Source organism: Homo sapiens, chromosome 15 (genome assembly GCF_000001405.40).
Source record: "Homo sapiens chromosome 15, GRCh38.p14 Primary Assembly".
In the NCBI taxonomy this organism is placed as follows: Eukaryota; Metazoa; Chordata; class Mammalia; order Primates; family Hominidae; genus Homo; species Homo sapiens.
In genome coordinates this window covers 21,452,655-21,462,296 of record NC_000015.10, presented here as the reverse complement: position 1 = coordinate 21,462,296, position 9,642 = coordinate 21,452,655, and positions in this window count along the sequence as shown.

Below are 9,642 nucleotides of genomic sequence, written 5' to 3'. Positions count from 1 at the left end.
AAGGTAGTGTAATGCTTCCAGCTGTATTATTTGTGCTTAATTTCTGTTGCTGTTTAGTGTTTTTGTGATGCCATATGAACTTTAGAATTTTTGAAATATTCTAAATAATTTCATTTGTATACAGATAAGAGACTGCTTTGAATCTGTAGATTGTTTTGCTCAGTGTAGACATTTTAACAGTATTAATTCTGCCAATCAATGAACCAGAAATATCTTTCCATTTATTTGTGATTTAGAAAGTTTTTCTACTCAGTGTTTTTTAATTTTAATATAGAAATCTTTCACCATTTTGGTTACATTTATGAGTAAACTTTTTGTAGTTATTATAAATAAAATTGTTTACTTGACTTTTTCAGGTAGTTTATAGTTAATGTATAGAAATTCTGGCATTTTGAATTGGTTTAAATTTTTTATTTTTGTGGGTACTTAGTTGGAGATATATTGATGTGATATATGAGATACTTTAATACAGGCATAGAAAGCAATAATCACATCATGGAAAATGGGGTATCCATCATCCCCTCAGGCATTTATTCTTTGTGTTACAACCAATCTAATTTTACTTTTTTCGTTATTATAAAATGTACAATTAAAATTATTATTGACTATAGTCACCCAGATGTACTATCAAACACTAGGTCTTACTAATTCTTTCTTTTTTTTTGTACTCATTAACCATCCCTACCGTCCCCTACATTCCCCACTGCCCTTCCCAGCCTCTGGCAACTACCTCTACCTACATGAGTTATATTGTTTTGATTTTTAGCTCCGACAAATAAGTGAGAACATGGAAAGTTTGTTTTTCTGTGCCTGGCTTATTTCACTTAATCTATGGTTCCATCAATGTTGTTGCAAATAATAGGATCTTATTTTTTATGGCTAAATAGTATTCCATTGTGTATATGTGCCATGTTTTCTTTATCCAGTCATTTCTTGATGGACATCAGGTTACTTCCAAATATTGGCTGGAGCACACTGCTGTAACAAACATGGGAGGGTAGATATCTCTTCAATGTATGGATTTCCTTTCTAGTAAGTGAATCCTCAGGAGTGGCATTCCTGAATTATATGGTAGCTTTATTTTTAGTTGTTTTGAAGAATTTTCAAAATGTTACATTCCTGTCAACAGCATACAAGGGCTCCCTTTCTCCACTTCTCTCCAGCATTTGTTACTGCCTACCTTTTGGATATAAGCCATTTAACTGAGTCACATAATATCTCATTGTAGTTTTGATTTGCATTTGTCTGATGATCAAAAATGTTGAGCACCTTTTCGTATGCCTGTCTGCCCTTTGTACGTCTTATGAAAAATGCCTATTCAAATATTTTGTTTATTGTTTATCAGATTACTAAATTTTGTACATTGAAAGATTTTACTGTGAATAGTTGACGAAAATTGGTTAAGTCCATTAAGACATGCTTCCTGCCCCTCACAACTCACCCACGCTGTTCTAGTCTCTCCGTAAGTGTCAATTCTGAAGGCCACAACTTCCATAACTTCCATATCTTCTCAGTATTACATTTCAAGATGAATATATTGTGCTTTACTCTGGCAACATGTCTTCCATAAAATGAGAATACACATCTGGGAAAAGGGAAAATAAATTACCTCACTTATTAGATTCAGGTGAGTACGTGTTAGAAACCTAATGTATAAAGTTATGTCAAGCACATTAGCAAAGTGGCACAATAAAAATCATAGGCCCTAATTTCTTCATATACATATACACTTAACAAAAATATCCTGAACAAAATTCCATTGTGATAAGTTTAAAAATCAAGAGTTTGCAGCACCCCAGGCAAGCAGAATGCCAAAAGCCAAATAGTAGAGGAAGGAAAATTTGTTGCATTTACCCACCACAGCCCTTCTTCCTCTCCAATGCAGCATGATGCTTATAGAAGTAAACTTCTGACTTCTTTCTGAAGAAAGAAAATAAACACACAATCCCAGAGTAGACACAGCCTGAGAACAGGCTTTAGAAACCTCCAGAATCTCTAGCCTGGTCAATTGGTGTCAGACTCCAAACCACTTTATAAAGACTGTGACAGCTTTCTGTTAATGCTCAAATCACAATGAAAGATGACAACAGAGTACCAGAGTAACATGGCCAAAAAAACACAATAAATTTCCAGATATGAACCCTAAAAAATTGAGATATACAAATTACTTGAAAATATTCAAAATAACCATCTAAATGATGCTCAGTGTATGAAATGGGAACATAGACAACTAAATGAAAGCAGCAAAATGAGAATATCACAAAAAATTATAAAAACCTTCAAAAATTATGGAGCTGAAGACTACAGTAAGTCATAAAGACAGAAATTCTCAAACAAAATACTTGTAAAATATCAAGAAGCTTAAATTAGTTTGGCTAAGATAAACACAGTTACTCATAACAAGACAGATTATAAGCAAAATTTTAAAAGTCGTAGGCAAAAGGAATCTTGGAAGCAAGCAGTAAGATAAACCTGTTGTGTCATCTATAGCATGCTTCATTGAGATTTGCAGTGGATTTATCAACACAGTCCTTGCAGGCCAGAAAAAAAGTTAAGTGATATAGTCAAAGTGCTGAAACAAAAACTTTCAAAGCAAGAATACTATAGGAAAAGTCTTCAAAAAAAGTTCCAAAGTAACAAAATGCAGTAAAAGTACATCACTAGTATATCTGCCTTACTGAAAATGCTTAGGGGTGTCTCTTCCACTGAAAATAAAATTCTAGAAAAAACCTACATTATATAAAAAACACATAACTCTCTAATAAAGACATGCACATAACAGGAAATTGTATTAAAATTATAATACAGAAAACAATTCTATTTTCAAAATTTGATAGACAAAAACATGAAAGTAGTTATAAACACAATATGACAATATAATTTGTGACTTACAAAGTTGAGAGCAGACATACTGAAAAAAACTATGCATCTGAATATCTTACCAATTCAAAATATATTGTAATTTTAAGAAGATTTTTGTAATCTTCATGATAACCACAAATATTAGAGAAATACAATATAGAAATTGAGAAAGAAATCAGACCATATCACCAGAGAAATCAGTGAGACAGCAAGAAAGATGAAAAAGGAACAAAATGGCTACAATAATAAAACAATGATTAATATAATAATAGTAAGTTCCATTTCAGAATACTTTAAAAATATTAATGGACTAACTTTCCCAATCAAAAGACATATTTCATGAAGAGATTCTAAAAATTGTATCAACAGCATCAACTATATTCTGTGTACAAGAGAATCACTGGATCCAATCACAAAGATAGACTAAAAGCAGGATGGAAAAAGATATTCCATGCAAATGTTAGCCAAATGAGAGCAGAAGTAGTCACTGTGACAAAAGACTTTAAGTCAATCATTATCATATTTTATAAAATTTAATTCAAAACTACAGCATAAAAAAGACATTAAATAATACAAAGGTTCATTCATTGGAAACCTATAAAAATTGTATATGTTGTTTGTGTGTGGATTCCTGTGTGTGTGCTTATACCTGTATCTACATCTACATCACACATCAGGGTTTCCAATTATACATCTATATCATACATCAGGGTTTCCAGTTTATAAAGCAAACATTGATGACATTGAAGCAAGAAATACACAGTGAACAGAAGACTTGAATACACTATAAAAATCAAATTCAACATGTGTAGAGAACACCTCATCCAACAAAATACACAATGTTTTCAATATTTCAGAAAATATTCTTGATAGAAGACGTTAGGCCATGAAACAAGTCTTAACACCTTTTTTTAAAATGAAATATTACTGCTTATTCTTTATAACCAAAATTGAATAAAATAGAAAATGAAACATTCACAAATATATGGGAGTTAAACAATACACCCTCGAACATGCTTTTCTTCAAGGGTGGGAATACTTAATATTATGAAGATGTCCAGACTACATAAAGTGGTCTACAGATTCAATACAGTCCTTTCCAAATTCTCAGTTTATTTTTGCAGAAATAAAAAAGCAACCCCAGAATTATACAGACTACAAAGAGACCAAGAAGACTCAACAATCTTGAAATATCAAGAACAATATCGGGGGTGTCACACCTCCTGATTTTGGAATACATTGTGAAGCTACAGTAGCTAAAGGAATTTGGTGCTGGCATAAATGCACACAACAAGAACAATAAAACAATAGAAAACTTAGAAATACAGCTACACATGTGTGGTCAAATGAGTTGTTTGCACACCCATGCAGCATTATTGACAAAAGCTGATAGGCTAAAGCAGCTTAAACTTTCTTAAATGAATAAATAAAATTTGGAATATAAAAATAGAATATTGCTCAGCTTTGCAAAATCAGCATATGTAACATATAAAATCAAAATCTTAACATGCTAAATAAAGGCAGTCACAACAAGACAGGTTGTCTGAATACACTGATATGGGATATCTAGAAACAAAAAATAATACTATATTTGACGGGCTGGGCGCGGTGGCTCACGCCTGTAATCCCAGCACTTTGGGAGGCTGAGGCAGGCCAATCACCTGAGGTCAGGAGTTCAAGACCCAGGCCTGGCCAACATGGTGAAACCCTGTCTACTAAAAATTTAAAAATTAGCTGGGCATGGTGGTGCACGCCTGAAATCCCAGCTACTTGGGAGGCTATGGCAGGAGAATCGCTTGAACCTGGGAGGCAGAGGTTGCAGTGAGCCGAGATCATACCACTGCACTCCAGCCTGACAACAGAGCCAGACTCCGTCGGAAAAAAAAAAAAAAAATCAGCCAAGAGGAGAAATACACAAGATGAACCATAAACAAAGTTGGTGTTATATTTATAGAGACAACCATGCCCATACATATGTATAATTTAACAGTGATAGACAGCTGGTTAATTCATCTTTGAATTAAACCCCACCTTGATTTAAAGTATATATACAGAGTTGCAAATTGTCATTCAAAATTATAATACATAGGTAAAACAGAAACACAATAAACTGCCTATAAATGTATCCTTACTAAAAACACAGTAATTAGGAATTGCAAGACAAGATAAACATTTACCTATAAAATTCTGTATGCAACATTGATATATCATTATAACACCTTTTTCTAGGTAACTACCGAGTTCACCTGTGATTGTGCACCTATGGAGCACACATACTTGTAATCATTGATGTCTACTGTATGGCAGTAAAATTTTACAGAAAATGCATTACAGACATTAAGAAAATGCTCTAGTAAAATTTTTTTAATGATTATGTAAAGACAGTAAAGATAATGTGTTACTATTAATATATTGATGCTATTTTCACAGAAAATAAAAAGGCTGCAATTCACTCTTTAGAAGCAAAGAAAAGCATTAGACTTTGAAATAAAGTAAAACCATGTATGTTGTAAAATATGAGTTATATACAATGCAAATATTTTGAAATAATTTTTTGTAATTTATCATTTAGATATAGGTTGAGAAAACAAAAATGTTAATGATTCCTATATGATTTCAGTTAACTGTAATGTACAAATGAACATTTTAATAAATAGGGAGTGCCTGTCTGATTTACTTCTTACATGGTGTGGAAATTATAGCATATTGTTCTGAATGAATCTAAAATAACAGACAAATTTGTAATACAGCAAAATACAAAGTGAAACCATATAAGGAGAGTGACATCAGCAAGGATGTTGGAATAAGGGGATCACTCTTGTTTATCTTCCCACAGCTACAATACTTTTGCAGCCATCCATGGACAAAAGTGCCTTTATGGGAGCTTTGGGATTAGAGAGGGCATTATGATACCCTGTGAAAAACAAAGACTGAGGAGGGCTGTTTTGGGAAGGCAGGCCCTCATTCAGGGGGCAAATCTGAGAACCCCTGATCTTGTCTACAGACTAGGAATTGACCCATCCTACTCAGTCACACTGAGAATCCTGAAGTGACTCTGTAACCATCTCCAATGCCTCCCAGTTATGGTCTGGAATTAGTCCTTCCCATACAGAGAACTGGGGAGAGACATTCATGATAATGGAGGCAGACCTACAGAATTTAACCTTTCACCTTTACTGTGGCCTCTGAAGCAGGTCTGTGACTCAGTTTCAGCCCTCTTCACCATAGTTTATAGACAGTTCTGCCCACCTAGAGACCCACAAAGGGAGAGAAAACCCTCTCAGGTACTCAGCAGAAGTCACACTTCATCCACACACCTACTATCAGGGCCGCCATATGCAAACCCAGCTTCAGAACCCTGGCCCTGGCATCTGCCCTACAGATCAAAGTTCTGAAAGCAGTTGAGTCTGCTCGAAATAAGAGGAGTCACAATGAAGCCACCTTGTGCCCAATTTTAATGCTTCTATTTTAACATACTAGTAGTCCTAAGTAGAACAATTTGGGGAAAAATATTTTAAAGCCATCTAAATTGAAAAAATGTCACTTTTTGTAGATGACATGATCTTATATACAAAAACCATAAATAGTACACCAAAAACCTATTTAAACTAATAAATGCACTCAATGAATTTTCAGAATATAAAAACAGCATACAAATCTCAATTGTGTTTTTATACCCTAACAACAAACTATCCAATTAAAAGGAAGAAAATGATTTCATTTAAAATAAAATAAAAAACAATAAATTTCTTAGGAACAAATTTAACAACTAAGGTGAAAGATCTTTATGCTGAAAAATAAAATATTGATAAAGGAAACTGGAGAAGACAAAAAATGTAAAGCTATCATAGATTGGAGGAGTAAATATTGTTAAAATTCTACATTATCCAAAATGATCTATAGATTTAATAAACTCCCTATAAAAATTCCAATAACTTGTTTCACAGTAATAGAAAATACAAGCTTAAAATTTATGTGAAATTACAACAGACTTTGAATAGCTAAAGCAATCTTGAGGAAGAAGAAAGCTAAGGATATTATAGTTTCTGATCTTTTTTTTTTTTTTGAGATGGAGTCTCACTCTGTCACCCAGGTTGGAGTGCAATGGTACGATCTCAGCTCACTGCAACCTCTGCCTCCCAGGTTCAAGTGATTCTCCTACATCAGTCTCCTGAGTAGCTGGGATTACAGGTGCTCGCCACCATGCCCGGCTAATTTTTATATTTTTAGTAGAGACGAGATTTCACCATGTTGGTCAGGCTGGTCTCGAACTCCTGACCTCATGATCCACCCACCTCGGCCTCCCAAAGTACTGGGATTACAGGTGTGTGAGCCACCGCACCCGCCCCTATAGTTTCTGATTTTAAATTATATTCAATACTATAGTAATAAAAAAAAGACAGCATGTGCATAAAAATGAACACGAAAACCTACAGAACAAAGTAGAGAGCCTAGAAAAAAAAAACCTATGCCTATAAAATCAATTAATCTTGAACAAGGATATTGAAAATGCACAATGCAGTAAGTGAAATCCCTTTATTATTTGGAGCTAAGAAAATTGGGTATCCACAAGCAAAAGAATAAAATTAGATGATTTTTCTTACATCATATCCCAAAATTAACTCAAAGTAAGGACAAATAAAACACATGAATTCTTAAAAATCCTAAAAGAAAACAAAATGTGGTCAACCTCCTTTATATTGGTCTTGACAGTATTTTTTTGGATCTGACACAAAAAGTGCGCCACAAAGGCAAATATAAAAAAGTTGGACTACATCAAACTAAAAAACTTATAAACAGAAAACAATAAGAAAACTTACAGGTTGGGAGAAAATATTTGCAAACCACTGTTAAGTGGTTAATATCCAAAATATGTAAGGAACTCATACAAATAAAAAACCAAAACAACAATAATAATGACAGTAATGATAACATGATTAAAAGACAGGTAAAGAAATATTTTTTTAGTGAAGACGTAAACTAAGAGTATTTGAAAAGCTGCTCAACATCTTCAATCATGAAGCAAATACAAACAATGATGACATATCATTTCACACTTGTTAGGATGGCTAATATCAAAATTCAGAGACATGTATGTTATTCTGATGATGGATACCCTAAAAGCCCTGACTTCACCACCATGCAGTCTATCCATGTCACAGCCCTTGAACTGGGACACATTTACCTGAAAACCAGCCATTTCATCTTCTTTCTCTTTCTTCTCTGAGTTTTTGTCAGGTGAGATTCTCTGGACAAGTCATGGCTGTATGTTGATAATATGCCTTAAAAAGCATCAGTACAACCCCTTTACTTGCTACGACTACAGCTACAGGGAGAAGGAACTAGAAGTGCAAAAAAGTCCACTCTTCCCTGTCCTTTATCCCAGGAGAGAGTCAGGAACAATGAGCTCCTACATAAAGATCAAAATGTGTTTCTCATTTCCTGCTTTCAAGTGTCCTCTCCTATCAAAGACTCAAGCAACTTTTGCTGCAGCAACTGGACTATGGGCTGCACTAACCACCGTATCAAATCCAAGCAGAGCAGATCCTGTGACCTGGAGAAAGGAGCCGGCTGTCCTTCCCTGCTGTAACCTAGAGAAAGGAAGCTGGCTGTCCTTCCCTGGCACAGCTGCACGCAAGGAATTTTCCACCACGCCCACCGGGCAGTAAGTTGAAACATAAAAAGATTAACAAGTTGGCTTATTTTTACTTCTACTCAGAGTGCAGAGTCATCGTAATTTATTGTTTTCTATGTCTCAAATACTCTGCTTTATTTTATTTTATTTTATTTTATTTTATTTTATTTTATTTTATTTTATTTTATTTTATTTTTGAGATGGAGTCTCGTTCTGTTGCCAGGCTGGAGTGCAATGGTGCAATCTCAGCTCACTGCAGCCTCCGCCTCCCAGGTTCAAGCAATTCTGCCTCAGCCTCCCGAGTAGCTGGGACTACAGGCGCACGCCAGCACGTCCAGCTAATTTTGGCATTTTTAGTAGAGATGGGGTTTCAACATGTTGGCCAGGATGGTCTCGATCTCTTGATCTCGTAATCCGCCGCCTTGGCCTCCCAAAGTGCTGGGATTACAGGCGTGAGCACTGCGCCCAACCTGTTTTATTTTTTAGTATGTTATCAAATGAAACATTAGTCCAATTATTAAAATAAATGCTTTAGTTGTCTGAGCAACTGTATTTTGTATCTGTCAAATCCACAAGCCTAACAATTTTACCTTTCTGAAATATCTACCACGTGTTCAAAGTCAGCACGCTACTCCTAGTTCTGCAAGGCACTGAAAGTACATAGAAAGAAAGAGGGGGGAAGCACATTTAAGAAACAGGTTTTCTGCAGGATCACAAGGGTATAACAATTGCCTATAACGGTGTGGCTACTTTCTCCGCATTCAGTCCCCGTGACTAAATAACTACTGCATTTGTGGAAGTCTCTAGGCTGGGTGCTGGACCCTAATTAATGCATTTGAAATCCAGGCCTACACTGTCCCTGGGCTCAGCGACTAACCTTAGTAGAAGCACACATTTCTCAATATGCACATAAGGCAAATAGGTGCTCACGGCAGCCAAACAGAATGCTTTGAAAAGCATTTTCCCAATGAGCCCCCCGCCAGCCCAAACCCCCGCAAACTCCGGAATTAGGAGACATAACAGGTACTTCCACCTCAGAAGCCAAAGCCCTCTGCGACTCCTGCCAAGAAGGGCAGGTTGCCATGCGTGGGTCGGCTGGGCGCGTCCTGGGGCTGGTCTGCCTGACCCGGACAAAACCAGGCGGC